The sequence below is a fragment of the Homo sapiens genome, chromosome X (assembly GCF_000001405.40).
Source record: "Homo sapiens chromosome X, GRCh38.p14 Primary Assembly".
NCBI lineage: Eukaryota > Metazoa > Chordata > Mammalia > Primates > Hominidae > Homo > Homo sapiens.
The window spans coordinates 113,920,972-113,943,770 of NC_000023.11; the positions used below are offsets into that span (position 1 = coordinate 113,920,972).

Consider the following 22,799-nt stretch of genomic DNA (forward strand, 5'->3'; position numbering starts at 1 on the left):
ACTTACCGCTTTATTAACTACTTTCTATATTTACAGCACTGTGCTAAGTTCTGTAGAATGAATAAGCTGTGATCCCTACCCTCTAGAAAATAAAAACAAAAAGCTATGGGGCAGTCACTTAGCTAGACGCTTATATATGAAAATAATGCAAGGCAAATTGTGGTTAGTGCTAAATAGAGGTACAGATAAAGTTGTCTCGGGGCATAGAAGAATGAGATAAGAGTAGTTTGTTTTCATAATACTTCCGGGAAAAAGAGAAATACAAATCTAGTTTCAAGGAATTAGGATAAACTAACAAATAGTAATTTAGCTAAGGATAATAATTTCACACAAGCTAAGTAAAAAGAGAAGTTACTTAAAAATATAAAGGCATCAACATTTTTCAGTCGATTTAGTTTACAGAAATGACAATAAAGATCAAGAGGGTATATGAAAGCAGTTCAGATTTGGAAAGGGGACATGATTTATCAAATACCACACAAAGGTTGACTAGAGTAATTTTGGATACAAATCAGAGGGATGGTACATTGAGAAAATGTTACTGGTTTTCTGACAACAAGGCAAAGAATGTAGTGGAACCCAATTATAACACTGAAATTGGGGAACAAAAGTAACATCTGTGTAATAAGCAATCAGTGAGAGAAAGATTATCAGTTCATATGAAAGAGTAATTACTCAAAACCATCTAGGGATGAGGAAGCTGCCTCTTTTTTTGACACAGGGAGAGATTTTACACTTCATGGTTTCAATCTTTGAGAATGAAAATGGGAATGAGAAATAGCTCTGGCAGTTTTCCAAATATCATTCAGGTAATTGACATTAAGTGAAATCTTTATAGGGAATGTTATTTAGGGAATGTCTATAGTTATTTAACAGTTGAAGAAAGGGATCTGTGCTATTGAAACCCTTTCTATTTACATTAAGCAGTAAAGCCACCTTGCAAGTATGCTCCCTGCCAAAGATAGAAGAGACATACTTGCAAAATTATGAAAGATTGAGTGCACTGGCACCTGGCAATACATAGATGAGTCTGAAAAGAGAATGAATATTCCCTCAATGGGAAATTTAGTCTGAAACAAAATAATGACAGTCAGCCAACTGAAGGATTTAGACCTACTTAAAGGATATGTTCACCACTTGGAACTGGAATGTAAGGGCCAAGGTTCCTGCAATTATCCAGTGAAGGGGGAAATGAAATCAAAGTTACTGAACTACATTAGTGACATAAAGTATAAGGTGAATGCAGTAAAGCTTTATTTCCATAACCTCTGCAATGCACCAATAACCTACTTTCTGAAATATACTTTATATCGTTCTCCTATTAATGTTGTATTTTTAGTTGATTGGGTAGGCATGATATTCAAGAATAAGTTGTGTAAGACTTAAGGCTTTGAGATAATAAAAATGGTTCTACTTTAGAGGAATATTGTGATGTATGAATGAGTACAAACGTGTAAGTGTTTAGAACAATTCCTGACACAGTAAGGGCTTGAGAATAGTATCATGTGTTCATGGGAGCCAGGGCTACTTTATCCCTGCTACAACCCACCCAGACAAGCTCCCCATTCAGGACCCCCAGCTATATTCTACATCTTTTCACAGGATACAGTAGCTTGTAATAAATAACTTTCACAACACAGGGGAGCTCAAGGAGACTTCGGTAAGGTGGCAACCTCTGAGGCCTTCTCCTTCCAGAATCTTCCAGAATCCCAAACAAGTAAGACAGAATCCTCCCTGCCTCCAGGAATTTGCCTCAATCAACCTAACTGCCTCTCTTTTTTCTAAAACTTCAGTCCAGAGAGCAAAGATAGGGATGCATCTGCCTTCCTGCTTCTTGTACCTCCCCTTTCTACTCCCCCTATTCCACTCGGGCTAATAGGAACAAATATTTCCCTTTTCCTTGCTATCTGACCATGACTTCCCTGATGTAAAGCTCTAGTCAAAGTGTCTTTGCCTCCTGGTATGGTAATTGGAAATAAAAGAAATTTAGGAAATCCTTTTCTGTCTCCCTGCCCATCTCTCTGTCCCTCCCTTCTCTCTCTGACTTTGTCTTTATCTCTTCCTCTCTCCCCAATACCTGTATTTCATAACTACCATATCACAAAAGGGAACACAGGCTTTGACAGAAGGAGGGAAATTGCTTCTTCTCAGTAGAATATAAGGATAGACGCACATTTAGGTATGGAGTCAAAATGAGGAAAACATGTCAGGGAGTTACCTTATAAAGGTATCTAAGAAGGCAAAATCTGTTGAGAGTAAAGGGAGATGCAGGAGGGTAGTAGGGTTAAGGAGCATGTCCCTATGAATAGCTGACATTAGGAGGAAGTATAGCAACTGACAAGACACTTGTAATGGGTGATTTTTTTAATTTTCTATTTTTAATTATTGTGGATACATAATAGTTGTACATATTCATGGGTACATGTGAGGTTTTGATATAGGCATGCAATATATAATGATCAAATCAGGGTAATTGGGATATCTATCACCTGCAACATTTATCATGTTTTTGTGTTAGGAACATTTCCATTCTAACATTCACATTCTACTCTTTTAGTTATTTTAAAATATAAAATAAAGTATCATTGACTATAGTCACCCTATTGTGCTGCCAAACACTAGATCTTATTCCTTCTATCTAACTATACTTTTGTTTTCATTAACATGTTTATAATCCCCCTTCCCAATACACCTCCCAGCCTCTGGTAACCATCATTCTACCCTCTATCCCCATGAATTCAATTTTTTTTTTAGCACCCACATATGAGTGAGAACATGCAATAGTTGTCCTTCCGTACCTGGATTATTTCACTTAATATAATATCCTCCAGTTCCAGCCATGTTGTTGCAAATGACATAATTCCACTCCTTGTTTTTGGGTGAGTTATCATTTAATTGTGTATATGTACCGCTTTTTTTTTTTTTAGTCTATTCCTCCACTGATGCATACTTGGGTTGATTCCATATCTTGGCTATTGTGACTAGTGCTATAATAAACATGTGCATGCAAATATCTCTTTAATATACTGATTTCCTTATGTTTTGGTATATACCTAGCAGTGGGATTGCTGGATCATGTGGTAGTTCTCTTTTTAGTTTTCAGTAACCTCCATACTCTTTTCCACAGTGGCTATACTAATTTACATTCCCACCAACAGCATATTTTTCCCAAAGGGACCAATGACATACAATGGGGAAAGGACAGTGTCTTCAGTACATGGTGCTGGGAAAACTAGATATCCATATGCAGAAAAATGAAGCCCACCAAGGGCTCCCCTTTCAACATATTGTCATCAGTATCCATTATTGCTTGTCTTTTTAATAAAAGGAATCTTAACTGGGGTGTGATGATAACTCATTATAGTTTTGATTTGTATTTCTGTGATAATTAATGATGTTAAGAATTTTTTCATATATGTCATCTTTCAAAGAATATCTATTCAAATATTTTGCCCATTTTTAAATGGGATTATTTGGGTTTCTTTTCCTATTGAGTTGTTTGAGCTCCTTGTATATTCTGGTCATAAAGCCCTTGTCAAATGGGTAGTTTATTAATATTTTCTGCAATTCTGTGCGTTGTCCGTTCACTTGGTTGACTGTTTCCTTTCTTATGCGGAAGCTTTTTAGCTTGATATAATCCTGTTTGTCCATTTCTACTTTGTTTACCTGTGCTTTTGAGGTCTTACTCAAGAAATCTTGGCCTAGCCCAATGTCCTGGAGTGCTTCCCCAATGTTTTGTTCTAGTAGTTTCATAGCTCCAGGTCTTAGATGTAAGTGTTTAATCAATTTTGATTTGACTTTTTTATGTATCAAGAGATTGGGATCTAATTTCATTTTTCTGCATATGGATATCTAATTTTCCCAACACCATGTATTGAAGACACTGTCCTTTCCCCATTGTATGTCATTGGTCCTTTTATGAAAAACAAATTGACTATAAATGCATAGATTTGTTTCTGGGTTCTATATTCTGTTCCATCGGTCTATGTGTCTGTTTTTATGCCAGTACCATTATGTTTTGGTTACTATAGCTTTGTAGTATAATTTGAAGTCAGGTAATGTGATACTTCCAGTTTTGTTCTTTTAGCTGAGGATTGTTTCGGTCATTCTGAATCTTTCATAGTTCCGTATAAATTTTGCTTTGGGTAGTATGGACATTTTAACAATAATGATTTTTCCAATCCATGAACATGGAATATCTCCTTTTTTGTGTATAGTGTTCAATTTCTTTCATCAATGTTTCATAGTTTTAGTTGTACAGCTCTTTCACATCTTTGGTTAAGTTTATTCTTAGGTATTTTAATTTTTTGTGGCTATTGCAAATGAGATTACTTTTTTGGTTTCTTTTTCAGATTGTTCACTGTTTGCATATAGATATGCTACTGATTTTTGTATGTTGATTTTTATACTGCAATTTATTGAAATTTTTATCAGTTCTTACAGTTTTTTTGGTGGAGTCAATAGGTTTTTCTAAATAGGAGATTATATCATCTGCAAATAAGGACAGTTTGACTTTTTCCTTTCCAATTTAGATGCCCTTTATATTTTTTATCTTGTTTTACTGCTCTGGCTGTAACTTCTAGTACTATGTTGAATAAGAGTGGTGAAAGTGATCATTCATGTCTTGTTCCAGATCTTAGAGGAAAGGCTTTCAGTTTATCCCTATTCAGTATGATACTAGCTGTGAGTTTGTCATATATGGCTTTTATTGTGTTGAGGTATATTCCTTCTATACACAGTTTACAGAGAGATTTTTTTTATCATGAAGGGATGTTGAATTTTTAGAATACTTTTTCACCATCTTTTCAAGTGATCATATAGTTTTGTCCTTCATTTTGTTAATGGTATGTATCACATTTATACATTTGCATATGTTGAAACATCCTTACATCTCTGAGATGAATCTCACTTGATCATGATGAATGATCTTTTTAATGTGCTGTTGAATTTGGTTTGCTAGCATTTTGCTGACGAATTTTGCATTTATATTTATCAGAGATATTGGCCTATAGATTTCTCCTTTTTTAGATCTGATTTTTGTCTGATTTTGGTATCAGGGTAATATTTGCCTTGTGAAACAAGTTTGGAAGTATTCTCTTCTCCTTCTTGCTCCTTCTAAATTCCTATGTGCAAACTAAAAATTGTGTTAAAAATCTTCCTTTTCCTCAAAGAAAACTGCCATCATCAAGAGTTCTGGCACAAAGCTTGTTGTTATCTTTAAGGGCCAGATATTAGTTTATTTTGAGGGTTCCCTAGGAGGGCCGCTGATGTGAGAGAATTTCTTTCCTTACTTCTACCAATTTTAGGTTTTGTTTGCTCTTGCTTTTCTAGTGTTTTCAGAGGCATTGTTGTTTATTTGAAGTTGTTCTACTTTTTTGATGTAGGTATTTATTGCTGTGAGCTCTCTTAATACTGCTTTTGCTGTGTCTCATATGTTTGGTATATTGTGTTTCTATTTTCATTTATTTCAAGAAATTTTTAAATTTTCTTTTCAGTTTTTTCATTGATCAGTGATTGTTCAGGAGCATATTATTTAATTTTCATGTGTTTGTATAGTTTCCAAAGTTCTTCTTCTTATTGATTTCTAGTTTTATTTCATTACAGTCAGAAAAGACGCTTTATATGATTTCAATTTCTTGAATTTTTGAGACTTGCTTTGTAACATAACATATGGTCTTATCCCTGAAAATGAACCATGTGTGAAGAGAAGAATGTGTATTCAGCAGCTGTTAAATAAAATGTTCTGTAAATGTCTATTGGGTCCATTTGCTCTATAGTGAAGGTTAAGTTTGATGTTTCTTTGATTTTCTGTGTAGATGATCTGTTCAATGCCAAAAACAGGGGTGTCAAAGTCCCCAGCTATTATTGTATTGGGGTCTATCTCTCTTTTTAGCTCTAATAATATTTGCTTTATATATCTGGATGTTCTAGTGTTTGATGCATACATATTTACAATTGTTATATCCTCTTGCTGAATTTACTCCATGATCTTCTTTATCTTTTTATACAGATTTTTTTCTCAAAATTTATTTTATCTAAATATAGCTACTCCTGCTTTTTGTTAGTTCCCATTTTCATGGAATATCTTTTCCCAATCCTTCATTTTCAGTCTGTGTTTATTTTTATACATGAAGTGGTTTTCTTGTAGGTAGCATATAATGAGGTCTTGGGTTTTTTAAATCCATTCAGCCACTCTGTCTTTTGATTGGAGCATTTAGTTCATTTACATTCAATGTTATTATTGATAGGTAAGGACATACTCCTGCCATTTTGTTATCTGTTTTCTGGTTGTTTTGTGAGTCCTCTCGTCCTTTCTCACTTCCTTCCTATCTTTTTTTTTTTTTTTTAACATGACAGTGATCTCTGGTAGTGTGTTTTAATTTACTGGGACTTTTTTTTTCTTTCTTTCTTTTTTTTTTTTTTTTTTTTGAGACAGTCTTACTCTGTTGCCCAAGCTGGAGTGCAGTGGCGCAACTTCAGCTCACTGCAACCTCTGCCTTCCAGGTTCAAGCTACATGCCTCAGCCTCTGGAGTAGCTGGGACTACAGGCACACACCACCAGACCTGGCTAATTTTTGTATTTTTAGTACAGAGAGGGTTTCACCATGTTGGCCAGGCTGGTCTGGAACTCCTGGTCGCAAGCAGTCCACCTGCCTCAGCCTCCCAAAGTGCTGGGATTACAGGCTTGAGCCACTGCACTCAGCCAATCCATTGCTTTTTATTTTTTGTATATCTATTATAGGTTTTCATTTTTTGTTTATCATGAGACCTGCAAAGAACATTTTATAGCCAGTTATTTTAAATGGATGAAAACTTAACTCTGATAAAAAGAAAAGCAAGTAAAAAGAAAACTAAAAAACTACATTTTAACACAATCCCTCGACTTTTTGACTTTTTGTTGTTTCTATTTATATCTTTTTATATTGTCAATCTCTTCAAAAATTACTATAATTATTATTGTTGATAAGTTTGTCTTTTAGTCTTCTTACTAAAGATATGAGTAGTTTACACACTGCAATTACAGTGTTAAGAGTATTCTATATTTGTGTGTGTACTTACTTTTACTAGTGATTTTTATACCTGCAGATGATTTCTTTTTGGTCCTTAATTTTCTTTCCTTTCAAATTGAAGAACTCCCTTTAGCATTTCTTGTTAAGACATGTCTGTTGTTTACAAATTCCTTCAGCTTATGTTTCTCTGGGTAAGTCTTTATTTCTCCTTCATTTGTGAAGGGTAATTTTCCTGGATATAATATTCTAGGTTGAAAGTTGCTTTCCTTCAGCACTTTGAATATGTCCTCCCACTCCCTCCTGTCCTGTAAGATTTCTTCTGAGAAGTCTGCTTCCATACGTATTGAAGCTCCTTCATATGTAGTTTGCTTTTCTCTTGCTGCTTTTAGGATTCCTTCTGTATCCTTAACTTCTGACAGTTTGATTATTATATGTCTTGTGCTAGTCTTATTTGCGTTGAATCTGCTTGGCATTCTTTGACTTTTTTATACCCGGATATTCTTATCTTTCTTTAGGTTTGGAAAGTTCTCTGTTATTTCTTGGAATAAACTTTCTACTTCATTCTCTCTCTATATATATGTCATGTTTAAGGCCAATAATTCTTAGATTTCCCCTTTAGAGGCAATTTTCTAGATCTTGTAGGCATGCTTCATTTTTTAAAATTACCTTTTCTTCTCTGATTGTGTATTTTCATATAATCTGTCTTCAAGCTCACTAGTTCTTTCTTCTGCTTGATCAGTTCTGGTGTTGGCAGACTGATGCATTTTTCAGTTTGTCCACTGAATTTCTTAGCTCCAGAATTTCTGCTTAATTTTTAAAAATTATTTCAATCTCTTTGTTAAATTTCTCTGATAGAATTCTGAATTTCTTCTCTGCGATATCCTGAGGTTCATTCAGGTTCTTCAAGATGGCTATTTTGAATTCCCTGTCTGAGAGATCACATATCTCTGTTACTCCAGGATTGGATACTGGTGCCTTATTTAACTCTATTTGGTGTAGTCATGATTTGCTGGATGTTCATGATGTTTTTGAACATTTGTCAATATCTGGGTTTTGAGGAGTTTGGTATTTATTCTAATCTTTGTAGTCTGGGCTTGTTTGTACCCATTCTTGAGAGAGCATTCCAAGAATTCTTAGGGGATTTAGTGCAGTGACCTAAGCCTGTGGACACTGCATCTGTTTCAGCACTAGGGGGAACCCTAAGCCCAGGAACGCTGAAACTCTTGCACGCTCCTGATAAACAGCCTTAGTGGACTTGGGGAAGATAAAGCATTCCCTGGCTTACCAGGCAACATCTTGTACTCTCTTCCCTCTCTTTCTTCCAATCAGAATGATCCCCTCTCTGCACTGGGATGCCTGCACTTGAGGGAGGGCTGATGTGGGCACTCATGGCCCCTACCGGGGGCACCACTTCATGTCATCTTCCAGACCTGCAAATTATTGGGGTTTTTCCAAGGCTCATGGTCACTATTGCCTGGCTGCTGGTGATATTTAATCAAAGCCCAAAGCCACTTTAGTCATCAGGTGGTGAATTCTGCCAGGAATGGGAGCACATTACTTTCTGGCCCAGGGTATGTCTAGAAATGCCATTAAGGAGCAAAGGTCTGAAATCAGGGTCTTAAGAAATCTCCTTGGTACTTTGTTTACTGTGGTTGAGTTGGTTCCCAAGTTGCAAGATAAAGTACTCTTCCCTCTCCTTCTCCCAAGTGGAAGGAGTCTGTCCCCAAGCTGCACTGCCTGGAGTTGAGAGACGGTTGACACAGGCACTCCCATGTCTGCCGCAACTGGTGTTGCACAGGGTCCCATCCCAAGTCCACTGCTTCCTAGACCAGCTCAGCACCAGAGCTTGCCCAAGGACTGCTATCCTTGTGTCTTGACTGCTAGTCAAATTTGCTGATAGCCCCAAACCACTTTAGTCAGCTGGTAGTGAAGGTGGCCATGGCCGGGACCTGGATTCCTCTCAGTGGAGCAGAAGATTCCCCTCTGGCTTAGGGCTTGTCCAGATGTTCCCTCCACGGGCACTGGCAGAATTCTCCCTTGTATTGTGTTCTGTTATGACCAGGGCAGCACTGAGTGCTAATGCAATATCCCACACTCACTTTGCTGTCCCCTCCCCAAGCATACAGATTCTCTATCTTGCACCACCTGGGCTTCGGGGAGGGTGGTGTGAGCAATGCAAGCCTGTCCTTTTTACTCTCTCCAAAGCATATTTCCTTGCTATTATGTTAAAACCAGGTACTATTATTGCTCACCTGATTTTTTTGGTTCTTATAAAGGTGACTTCTTTCATGGACAGTTGTTCAATTTGGTGTTCTTGTAGGGGGGACAATTGCTGGGGGTTTCTATCTGGCCATCTTGCTCTGCCTCCTCCTTTTATCTACAAGGATTTAAAAAATATATATGTGTGTGTGTGTGTCTGTGTGTGTAACTGATTAGTTTTAATGTTCTTTTTTATTGTGTTTATATATATATATATAAACGTACATATATATAAAATTTACTACTTTAGCCATTTTTAAGTGTACAATTCAGTAGTATTAAGTATATTCATATTATTGTGCCACCATCACCACTATGCATCTTCACAACCTTTATGTTCCCAAACTAAAACTTTCTATTCATTAAACAATAAGTCCCCATTCCCTCCTTCCTCCAGCCCCCGTAACCACTACTCCACTTTCTGTCTTTACGAATTTGTCTTCACTAGGTGCTTCATAGAAGAGGGATCATAAATTATTTCTCCTTTTGTTACTAGCTTATTTCACTCAACATAATGCCTTCAAGGTTCATCTATGTTGCAGCATGTGCCAGAATATTATTCCATTTTAAAGCTGAGGAACAGTCTAGTACGTACATACCACATTTTTTGTTTATCTATTCATCTGTTAATGAACATTTGAATTATTTTCATCTTTTGGCTGTTGTGAATAATGTTACTATGAATGTGTGTGTATATATGCATACATATATGTATATATGAATGTCACTGTGTATATATGTGTATGCATATATGTATATATGCAAATACACATATTCATACATATACATACACATATATGTATATATGTATACACATATACGCATACATACACATATATTACATGTGTATACACATATACACACACATACACATATATGTATATATGTATACACATATACACACACATACACATATATGTATATATGTATACACATATACACATACATACACATATATGTATACACGTATACACATATACATTATATACGTATACACGTATACACATACATACACATATATGTATACACGTATACACATACATACACATATATGTATACACGTATACACATACATACACATATATGTATACACGTGTGCACACATGTATATATGTATATACACGTGTACACACGTGTGCACATATGTGTATACGTGTATATACACGTATACACATATATGTATACGTGTATATACACGTATACACATATGTGTATACGTGTATACACACACACACACACACACACACACACACACTGTAGCCTGACCAATCAGATAGTAGTCAGATAGTGGTCCGACTTTATTCTTTTGTATGTACCTATTCTTTTGTATGTACCGTAGAGACAGAAAGTGGATTAGTGGTTACCAGGGACTGGAGGAAGGAGGGAATGGGGGCTTACTGTTTAACCAGTACAAAGTTTTATTTTGGGAACATAAAAGTTGTGAAGATGGATAGTGGTGATGGTTGCACAGATATATAGATAGATAGATAGATAGATAGATAGATAGATAGATAGAGCTATATCAATACCTATATCTATAGATATAGATCTTTTTGAATCCGGGCTTTCAATTATTTGGGGTATAAACCCAGAAGGAGAATTGCTGGATCATACAGTAATTGTATGTTTCGTTTATGAGGAACCACCATGCTGTTTACCATAGTGGCTACATTATTTTACAATCCTATCCACAGTGCACGAGGGCTCCAATTTCTCCACATCCTTGCCAACATTTGCCAATTTCCAATGGGTTTTTTGGGTATTTTTATTCATTTATTTTTATAATAACTATACTAATGGGTATGAAATGGAATCTTATTGTGGTTTGGATTTGCATTTCCCTAATGATCAGTGATGTTGCGAATCTTTTCTTGTGTTTATTGGCCATCTGTATAAGATGTACAGATGTTGAATGTTTATTCAAGTCCTTTACCCACTTTTCGATCTGGTTGTTTTTGTTGTTGAGTTGTACGAGTTTTTTTTTTTTATATGTTGGATGTTAATCCCTTATTAAATATATGATTTGCAAACATTTTCTTCCATTTCACAGACTGCTCTTTCACTCTGCTGATAGTGTCGTTTGAAACATGGAAGTTTTACATTTTGATAAAGTCCAACTTCCCAGTTTTTTCTTTTCTTCTTATGTTTTCTTCTAAGAGTTTTATAGTTTTATCTACTACATTTAGGTGTTTGATCAATTTTGAGGTTTTTTGGATATAGTGTAAGATACTAGTCCGACTTTATTCTTTTGTATTTACCTATCCAGTTTTCCCAGCATCGTTTGTCAAAAGGACTATACTTTCCCCACTGAATGTCTCAGTAATCTTGTCAAAAATCATTTGACCCTGTATGTGAGAATTTATTTCTGAGCTCTCTATTCTATTCCACTGGTCTATATGTCTGCCTTTATGACAGTAACACACTGTCTTGATTACTACAGCTTTGTTTATGCTGTTTTCCATAGTGGCTACACTATTTTACAATCCTATCCACAGTGCACAAAGGCTCCAATTTCTCCGCATCCTTGCCAACACTTGCTAATTTCTGGTAGGGGGTATTTGTATTCATTTGCCCATCTTTAATCATGTTCTGTTGAAGTATTCCACTTCTTAAACCTACCCGTGAGGTCTATTTTCCCAGGGAAAGAAAAAGTTGATATGAGTAGTAGGCCGTTGATCCTCTGACTCTCAAAGCTGGTATAATTAGGCAGGGGCCAGAGGTAGGTGGTAAAACTGCTTCTTTGAAGAGTTCCAAGTAGGAAGTGGAACAGAAGTTTCATGTCCTTTTTATTCCCTTCAGCTTATCTAATAAACCTCTCCCTCCAGGACTTTTACCCAGAGAAGGGTGATTGGACAAACATCGGACCACCTTTCTCTGTCTCTCTTCCTCTTCTTCCCCCTACAATACATCAAAAATAGATGAAATGTTTTCACTTATTTTCCTGTCTGACTTGGACCTCCATTATATAAAACACTATCATTAAGTCCACTAACTCTACTTCTTGACAGTATCAATAACATTGACAAATTCATATCTTCATCTTGATTTAAAATTTGGGCATGGCTTTATAAATAATGGAATTGTCTGTTTAGGGGTTCACTTGGCTCATACAAATACCACCTCTTTCCCATCCTTCCATTTCCACCCTAAGCAGGAAATGTCCAATTTAAAGGCCATTAGACAAAGCATTCCTGAATGATGCAGAGAAGTGACTGTGACTCTACCTTGGATGGTGATTGAGAAGGCATGTGAAGAAGAATAATATTAATTCTGGACATGGTTAGAGCCTTGAATTGGCCACTGATGATAAAATATCAGATTAGAGGGCTGGGCATGGTGGCTCACGCCTGTAATCTCAGCACTTTGGGAGGCTGAAGTGGAAAGATCACTTGAGCTCAGGAGTTTGAGACCAGCCTGACCAACATGGTGAAACCCCACCTCTACTAAAAATACAAAAATTAGCCGGGTGTGGTGGTGCACACCTGTAATCCCAGCTACTTGGGAGGCTGAGGCAGGAGAATCGCTGGAACCCGGGAAGGGGAAGTTGCAGTGAGCCAAGATTGAGCCACTGCACTCCAGCCTGGGAGACAGAGCAAGACTCCATCAAAAAAAAAAAAAAAAAAAAAATCAGATTAGGATATATACAGATATCCAATGCTCCATTAAAACTGTCCAAGTCTGAAACTAAATGTGTACATTTTTGTTTTGTGCTCAGTAAATGTTCTTGAAGCATTAACTTGTGAAATAAAATACCCTTGAGAAAATAACATATTATTCATGTGAGTTACTCTCTACTGAGAAGATATGTGGATAGCAGCATAGCCAGAACTTATGACTGTCAATAAATGAGAGGTAGCTGAAAGTCTGGGAAAGACTACAAAACCAGGAATAGTAGACAACAAAGAAAGAACTTGCCAGCTGGATAGCATCACCAAGCACTGGCCTTCCATGTGGATGGTCAAAGAATCTATTGCTGAATGTTGAAAAGCATCACTTGGACAAATCAACCCAGGAGTCACTGCCATCTGTTTTACTGGAATTTGCTATTCTGCAGAGTTTACCCAAGTTTGCATGAAATATATAAATTTGTACTTTGCAAAATCCTACTGAGTTTTGAAAATCTAAGCCAAAAGCCTTTTTATTTTTATTCTTTTAACTTAAAACTTTACAAAAACATATGCTTCACTTAAAATTTAGTCCTTCTGATTTTGTGAAAGCAAGAATATTTTAGGTGCATATTTTTATTTTTCAACATTTTTCCTCATTTATTATAATAAAAATATTGAGTTGAGGAAAAATATGGTTTATTAACTACTGACAAACATCTCAAGCAAATTATATGCTGGAAGTAGAGTAATAAAGTTAGGTTTTCTTTTTCAAAATATCTGGCAGAATTCTAAACTCATAAAAGATCTTAACTGGGCTACCATAAAATGGCCTGCAATGGATTCTAGTGAAATCTAATAAGATACTCAGTTACTAGCTTCATTAAAACACAGTGTGTTCATTATAACCCAATCTGGCAGAAACTCTCATTACTCTGGGTTTGTATTACCTCATGTAATTCTGCTTTTTAAAGTTCTTTTCTTTCCCCTCTCATCCAAACCCCACCACACCCTTGGTGTTACATTATAGCCAATTAACATACTTTAACTGTTTGTAATATATCATGTTTTTATTACTATTCTAAAGGAGTTTGTGTTTTTTCATTTTCTTCATTAGATCATTCAAGTAAGTCTCAAAGACTTGAAATGTTATACTTGATTATATTCAGAGTTTTGAAAAACATGCTGCTCTAAGACTATGAGGTACTACCATTTTGAATCATTATGCCCTCTCTGTGATAAGAATATGATCCAATGCTATGCTATTCTCTGAATTAATCATAAAAATGATGTAAGAGGCTTATATAAAAAAACATATGTAATAGACTGTAAGCTTCTTGAGAGTACAGTTATGAGTATATTTCCATAGCAGCTAACATTTATCAGGTGCTTACAACATGTCAGCTACTGGGCTAAGTTGGATTTTTTATCTCACTTAAGATGACAGCTGAACGATATCTCTATTATGCATTCTTCCTCATTTTACAAATGGAAATAAATGAGACCCTGAGGAGCTAACCACTAGCTCAAGGTCACAAACCCAGTAGGTAATGGAAGGAGAAATCCAATCCAGTTATAACTCCAAAATCACCACTCTCTCCACTTTATTGAACTGCTTTGGGTCTTTGTTTCTAAAGAGCCCAGGACAGTGCTTGGCATTGAGTTGGCATTCAAATATTTGTTGACTTTAATGTTGATGGTGCTAATGAGTCACCGACAAATTGTTGCAATTCAACGTTGTTTTATTTCAATGTTGTTCTTTTCAACAGCCACTTTTAGTTGAATTTAACTATTGTTTTATTTTGTTTATTGTCAAAATGATGTATGAGTAGACATAGCTCAAAGGGGACTGAAAAGTAAACATTTACCATAGCTACAGAGAAGCCAGTCAGGAAGTCAGGGTGTTAAAATGGAATTTGGCAAATAAAGGAAGCTGACAGAATAAGGAAGCAAATAAGAGAAAACAAAACAAACAAAAACTCAAGAAATAAATACAAATGCCTGCACTTCCTCTTCTATTCCCTATTTATTGCATTTGATCCCACCATCATGCCCCATTATACAAGCTAGAAACCTAGGAGGCATCTATGATTTCTCCTTTTTCTGTACCTTCTTTAACCTATTTAATCACTTACCTATTCTAAATACTGTGTATACTTTTATAATCTGTCCCCTCCTTTTCTCTCCTGCAATCACTGCCTGTTTTGTTTCTTACCCAAATTAAAACCTTTCTAACTAATCTCCCAGCCTTCGGTCTCTTCTCCTCCTTAGGTCCTTTGTCCACACGGTTACAAGAATGACATCTAAAATTCAAAACTTATGATGTCACTCACTCACATCTTTTAAACTCTTTAGTGGCTCTTCACCAACTCAGAATAAAGCTAAAGCTATTCTACCTTTCTTTTTAAGCCATTTCTATGTGTTGCAGATGAGTGAAAACAATTTGGATAATACAGCAAATGCCAAGTTGTGTTTTGTTTTGTTTTGTTTTTGTAAATATTGTAGCATCTGGTGGTAAAAGATATGTGAAAACTACATGTTCTCTCTCCCAAATCTTGGCTATTAGATAGTAGTTACAACAAAATAAAGTATCAAGTTAAATTACATACAATGCACAAATGTTCATTAGAAAGGAGGCAAAAAAAAAAAAAAACTATATAATCTATTCGATAGCTCTGGGAGATCCCACTCTCTGACCTAAACCCAAAGACTAGTACTTTACATGAAAAGCACATTTTCAAGAAGGCGCAATGTAGGAGTCACTGGTAGGACTAGGGTGCTCTACAGTCAGACTGGGCAGCAGAAGACTGAGAAATTTAGGTACATAAGACCAACGTGGCTCTAGACTCCTAGCTTTTGCTGAACTCTAAAACCTCCTTCATGCAGGAGCAAGTGGGTCTTATACATCATTTCTAACAATTGCCTACCTTAAACACCATTCATTTCAATAACAAAAATTTATTTCTTATGTTCCTGAAGACAAGTAGACCCTGTGGTGTAGCTTTTGTTAAAGATGACCAATGTTTTCTTTTTCTTTTCTGTTTTTTTTTTTTTGAGACGGAGTCTCGCTCTGTCGCCCAGGCTGGAGCGCAGTGGCGCGATCTCAGCTCACTGCAAGCTCCGCCTCCCGGGTTCACGCCATTCTCCTGCCTCAGCCTCCCCAGTAGCTGGGACTACAGGCACCCGCCACCACGCCCGGACAATTTTTTTGTATTTTTAGTAGAGATGGGGTTTCACCATGTTAGCCAGGATGGTCTTGATCTCCTGACCTTCGTGATCCACCCACCTCGGCCTCCCAAAGTGCTGGGATTACAGGCGTGAGCCACTGTGCCCGGCCGTTTTTTTGTTTTTTTTTAAGAGACAAGGTCTTACTCTCTCAACCCAGGCTAGAATGCAGTGGCGAGATCATAGCTCACTATAACCTCAAACTCCTGGGCACAAGCGATCTTCCCACCTTTGCTGAAAGTGGCATTTTCAACCTATTCAACCTTACATTTAAATATAAGAAGACATCCTTCTTGCCATGGTGTCAATCAGTGACCCAGACTTTCTAGCTCTACTTTGTGTAAACTCATTTAGATGGCATCCAAAGAACTGAGTTTTATAGTACTTACTTGGTATGCCATAGCTACTACAATCCTTATTTTGCTTATTTCATAGCTTAAGGTACTGAAAGCAATTATTCGACAGTATTATTATTATTAATTGATATTGATATTCTCCAGAATATTGTTTTTAATTGCAGAAATGAAAAACACTGCAAATATCCAATAATGGAAGTGTTAAGATAGATGCATAAGGTAGAATATTATACACCCATTAAATAACATGCTTTTATTTATTTTTAAGTTATTTTTATGTACTTATTTATTTTTTAGATACAGTATCTCACTTTGTCACCCAGGCTGGAGTGCAGTCATGTGGTCGTAGATCACTGTAGCCTTGAACTCCTGGGCTCAAGCGAACCTCCTGCCTCAGCCTCCTGAGCAGCTGAGACACAGGCACACACCACCATTCCCAGCTAATTTGTTTTAATTTTTTGACAGAGACAGAGTCTCACTATGTTGCCTAGGCTGGTCTCGAACTCCTAGCCTCAAGCCATTCTCTTGCCTTAGCTTTCCAAAAGCACCGGAATTACAGGCATGAGCCACCTTGCCCAGCCACATGATCAATGTTAAGTAATCAATCTTTAAGGTGATAATTCCTGATTATGGTATTCCATGTTATTCGACCATCACTGGAATGATGATTGCAATCAAAAGACTTCTAACACTATTTAATTGCCCGTATAACATACAACATACCCACTTTCATAATTTTCAGCTATAAAAACATCCAACTACTTACAGTTTCTTCATTGACTCATCCACAAATGTTTAATTGGTACTTCTTATATGTCAGTCACCATTCTACATGCTGCAAATGCAGCAATAAATGTGGCAGACAAAGCCTGTGTTCTCATGGTGTTTACATTCCTAAGGGGACACAGAATATATATATATATATATATAGTGAGGATAAGCTGTATACACCAATAGTCAGATTTCTTTTGATTGCAAGTAATAGAATCCCAAGCAAATTAATTTAGCACACACAAAAAAAAGATTTTTAATAGAAGGATAAAGAAAACCAAAAGGTAAGCTGCAAGAACAAGAAGAGTTTAGAAGATTCAGAAACTGGAACTAAAGATGTAGTTGCCCTAAGGACTCATTCTCTCTCCATCTTCCCCATCTCTTTTTTCAGTTGTTCTTTACACGCTGACTTCATTCCTTCCTGTAGTAAATGGTCTCTTTCCAGTTGGAAGGTAAAATGGCCACAGTGGTTCTCAACCAAAGGCAATTTTGACTCTCGGAAAACATTTGAACGTGTCTGGAGACATTTTCAGTTGTCATAACTGGGAAGATGCTACTGGCATCTAATGGATAGAGACAGAATGCTGCTAAATATCCTACGATGTTTGGGACAACCGCCTGCAACAAAGAATTATCTTGACCTGAATTTTAAGAGTTCCAATGTTGTGAATCCTTGCTCTAGGGGTGATTCAAATCTTACGTCATTCCAGCGTAAGAATCCCATAATAATCACTAGTGTATAACAAATATGACAGTAGCATATATAACACAACAATAATACCAACAATATTTAATAAGTATTTACTATGTGACAGGAAATATTATAAGTCCTTCCATGTATTAACACATTCGTCCTCACAACAGTACTATGATGTAGGTATTATTGTGATCTCCCTGTTTTACAAATAAGAAAACTGAGGTACAGAAAAGTTTAATAGCTTATCTAAGCTTACACAGCCATTAAGTAGTGGAAATTATATTTGAACCCAGGAAGTTTCACTCCAGAGTACATGGTCCTAAACTTTGTGACACCATTTTTCAATTGCTACTTTAGTATAATAAAACCCTAGGAAAAGAATCTGATTGATCTGGCTTGGGTCATATGCCATCCCTTGGATGAACTGCTCCAGCCAGGAGAATGCTATGTAATGATTGGCTTAGTCTGGGTCATATACCCACCCCTATAGTTAACTGGGCTGTGTAATATGCTTAACAGTTCTACCACATAGTTGGAGTGAGGGAAAAGTATACTGCTAAAACAAGAAAGAGGGCTGGGGCAGTGGCTCATGCCTGTAATCCCAGCACTTTAGGAGGCTGAAGTGGGTGGATCACCTGAGCTCAGGAGTTTGAGACCAGCCTGTGCAACATGGCAAAATCCAGTCTCTACAAAAAAATACAAAAATTAGCTGGGTGCAGTGGCCTGCGCCTATAGTTCCAGCTACTCGGGAGGCTGAGGCAGGAAGATTGCTTAAACCCAGGAGGCAGAGGTTGCAGTGAGCCTGGATCATGTGATTGCATTCCAGCCTGGGTGACAGAGTGAGATCCTGCCTCAAAAAAACATTTTAAAGGACAAAGAAAACAAAAAAGAAACAAGGGGTATAGGGCAGACAACAACGATTGAACTACCTTTTCCATAATGCTATTTCTCACATCTGCTCATCTGCTCATACTGTTCTCATTGTTTAGCATGCTCTGCCTAACATTCTCCCACAAGTATACACCTCAGCTTGAGGAACAATATAAGGTAAAACCTCTACTTGGAAACCTTCCATTATCACCCCTTACAAGTTGAGTTATATCCTCTTTTCTCCTATGCCCATAATATCCTGCACATATCTCTTTCATGGTATTGCCCATATAGCATACATCTCTATCTCCCCCACTACACTGTGATTGCCTTTAAAACCATCAATGTGTTGTATTCATCTTTCTATCCCACACGCCTAACCCTGCGTCCATACATATAGTAGGAATCCAATAAATGCTAGTTGACAGAATGGCAGATTTAAAAGTTTCTTGGGAAAAGTCAAAAGCAAGAGTCCTAAGATTAATTGAGTTTCTGTGGTAAGATAGTAAGAAACAATTCCCAGGTGATGTGGTCTGCCTGCTAGTAATTTAGTTCTTTCAGTTGAACAGCCTGCCAAAAACAATGCTTGTATAGTGACTGTATTGTGGAGTAAAGAGAAGTGAGAATTCTGCATCTTTTTTTGTAAAATTATGAATCACAGAAGAATAGAGCTGGAAGGGTGCTTAGAGATTATTTAGTCCAGGGCTTGTCATATAAGAACTCTAAAGCCAAAATATTTTATAATAAAGTGCACAGAGTAATGACAATCAACTAAAAATCGATTGAAGACTTCACTATAAGACCTGAAAAGTTGTAAAACCCATAGAAGAAAACATAAGGGAAAAGCTTTATGACATCAGTATATCCAGTGATTTCACAGAAATGACATCAAAAGCTCAGGCAACAAAAGTAAAAATGGACAAGGGGGCTACATCAAACTAAAAAAGCTTCTGCACAGTGAAGGAAACAGAGTAAGAAGACAACCTATGGAAAGACAGAAATATTTGCAAACCATACATCTGATAAGGGGCTAATCTCCAAAATATATACGAAACTGCTATGACTTGATAGCAACAACAGCAACAAAAAAAAACCCACAAAACCCTAATAACTTGATTTTAAAATGGGCTAAGGACTTGAATGGACATTTCTTTGAAGACATATGAAGAGTCAACAGGTATATGAAGAGATATTCAATGTCACTAATCATCAGGGAAATGCAATCACAACGACAATGAGATATCACTCACACTTACTGACTATCCCTTACCAAAATGCTTGAGGCCAGAACTGTTTCACATTTCAGATGTTTTCAGATTTTGGAATATTTACATATACATAATGATATATGTTGGATATGCAATGTAAGTCTAAACAGAAAGTTCACTTATGTTTCATTTACACCTTATATACTTTATACCATAGCCTGAAGGTAATTTTATACAATATTTTAAATAGTTTTGTGCATAAAATGAAGTTTTGACTGCAACCTACCACATAAAGTCAGGTATGGAATTTTCCATTCGTGGTATCATGTCAGTGCTCAAAAAGATTCAGATTTTGGAGCATTTCAGATTTCAGATATTTGGATTAGGGATACTCAATTTGTATTTTTTTTTTAAGGGCAGTAAGTGTTGGCTGGTTGTGGAGAAATTGGAACCCTTATGTACTGTTGGCAGGAATACAAAATGGTGCAGCCATTGTGAAAATCAATATGGAGATTCCTCAGAAAATTAGAAATAGAATTACCATATGATCCAGCAACCCCACTTCTGGGTATTTATCCAAAAAATTTGAATCAGAATCTTAAAGAGATATTAGCACTCCAATATTCATTGTAGCACTATTTGCAAAAGCCAAAATAAATGAAAACCTAAACGCCCATTTACAAATGAATGGAATTTTGTATGTATATATACAATGGAATATTATTCAGCCTTAAAAAAGAAATTCTACCATATGTGACAATATGAATGAACCTGGAAAACACTATGCTAAGCAAGATAAACCAGTCACAGAAGGGAAAATACTGCATGATTTCATTCACATGAGATATCAAAATTAGTCAAACTAATGGAAACGAAGAATAGAATTGTGGTTTCCAGGGGCTAGGAAGAGAGGGAAAAAGGGAGGTGCTGATGGGTATAAAATTTATTATGCAAAATGAATAAGTTCTAGAGAGCCACTGTAAAACATTGTGACTACAGATGACCATACTGTATTATATAGTTTAAAATCTGATAAAAGGGTAAATCTCATGCTAGGTCTTCTTAAAAAAAATTAAATTTGAAAATTAAAAATTAAAAGGAAAGAATGATCAAAGAGGTCAAACTTTTAAAGTTAATTCATTAGAGACATCTATGTTATTTGAATATTCTCTTTTATGAAATATCTATTAAACATTCTAACCATTAATTGGATTGCCTTTTCCTTAGTGTTTTGTGAAAATGATGTATATATTCTGTATATGAGTCATTAGAAAATATATGAATTAAAAAATTAAAAATACACTAGATTTACATTGAGTTGTATGTAAAATTCTTATTCCCTTCCATAAAAATACTTTTTAAAATTTGTTATTTTAATGAGATTTCATAATTTTGGTACTAATCTATTAATTTAATTTTTTAATTCTAAACTTACTTGGATAAATACTTATTGCTTGGGAATATATCACTGCTTTCAGTGCTAACATAGACATGAATGTTGCTGATGAGTGAGAACTAATCTATAGGTATCTAATGAAGATTATTATTATTTATTTATTTTGAGATGGAGTTTTGCTCTTGTTGCCCAGGCTGGAGTGCAACGGTGCAATCTCGGCTCACTGCAGCCTCCATCTCCCGAGTTCAAGTGATTCTCCTGCCTCAGCCTCTCAAGTAGCTGGGACTGCAGGCATGCACCACCATGCCCGGTTAACTTTTTTGTATTTAGTAGAGACAGGGTTTCTCCATCTTGGTCAGGCTGGTCTCGAACTCCTGACCTCAGAAGATCCGCCCACCTCAGCCTCCCAAAGTGCTAGGATTACAGGCATGAGCCACTGTGCCCAGCCTGATGAAGATTGTTTTATGTAGCAAATATTTGGTCATGGTATATAAAGTCATATCAATCTTGTATAATGGAAACCCACCCGATTTTGTTATTTTGTATCTACTAATAAGGCAAAAAGTTACCACTGAGATGAAATTTCAGATATGATTCTAAAAATGGTCAGTGGACACTGCTTCCAAATCAGATAAATCAGAAATAGCCCCAGTTGCATGTTTTTGAGGCCTCTGTTTATTTCCCATCTAAACCATTTTTATTTATACTGCCAAAAGATTGCAAATACTCATGGATGACCCATGTAGTTGAGCAATGGAAGCATCAGCACAAGGGCACATGATGTTTCCGTTTGCCATTTTACCCCTTGTGCTTTTGCAATTCTCATTCTCACAAGGGAGCTCCCCAATCTGGATCTTCCATCCCATGAGCCACTTTATACTCTTAATCTTGTTGTTTTCTCATGTTTCTGTAAGGATTTACCCATCCCATGCCTCCATGTTCCAGGAATATCATCTAATTTGATGAAGAATTTCAGGGACCATGCTAGGGACAGAGGGGCTTTAAATGTGATCTATAGGAATGCCAATCTATTAAATTGTTTTGAAAAAAATAAAATCTGCGGTTAAATAAAATTGGGAAATATATACTCTATCACTCTCTTGGAAACTCAAAATGTACATTAGCATACTTAAAGATGCTACGAAGTCCAACAGTTAAGAATCTGGTTTCCCTTTGTTTAACACCACATTTCCCACACTTATTTGAACCTTATTTTCAAGGCACTTGGAGCAGTAATCTTACAGAGAACACGTTTTCTATTTGTTTGTTTGAGACGGAGTTTAACTCTTGTTGCCCATGCTGGAGTGCACTGGAGGGATCTTGGTTCACTGCAACCTCTGCCTCCCCGGTTCAAGCTATTCTCCTGCCTCAGCCTCCCAAGTAGCTAGGATTACAGGTGCCC

At 36.4% G+C, this 22,799-nt stretch overlaps 1 long non-coding RNA gene across 1 annotated transcript in view, besides 1 other annotated feature; it reads right to left on the bottom strand.

Moving 5' to 3' along the window:
• Positions 1-6,102: 6,102 nt before the first annotated feature.
• The window catches only part of LOC124905236 (uncharacterized), a 36,671-nt gene continuing 19,974 nt past the window's right edge, over positions 6,103-22,799 (bottom strand). Inside the window, exon 2 of the long non-coding RNA XR_007068366.1 lies at positions 6,103-17,349. This is a non-coding gene — a long non-coding RNA (uncharacterized LOC124905236). The remainder of the gene's footprint in view (positions 17,350-22,799) is intronic.
• Positions 7,868-8,543: an enhancer, noted in NCBI's record as "OCT4-NANOG-H3K27ac hESC enhancer chrX:113172117-113172792 (GRCh37/hg19 assembly coordinates)". NCBI's record gives its function as "activates a minimal SCP1, AML or CMV promoter by ChIP-STARR-seq in primed H9 embryonic stem cells {active_cell/tissue: H9 hESC(primed)}" and the evidence as "EXISTENCE:reporter gene assay evidence [ECO:0000049][PMID:30033119]".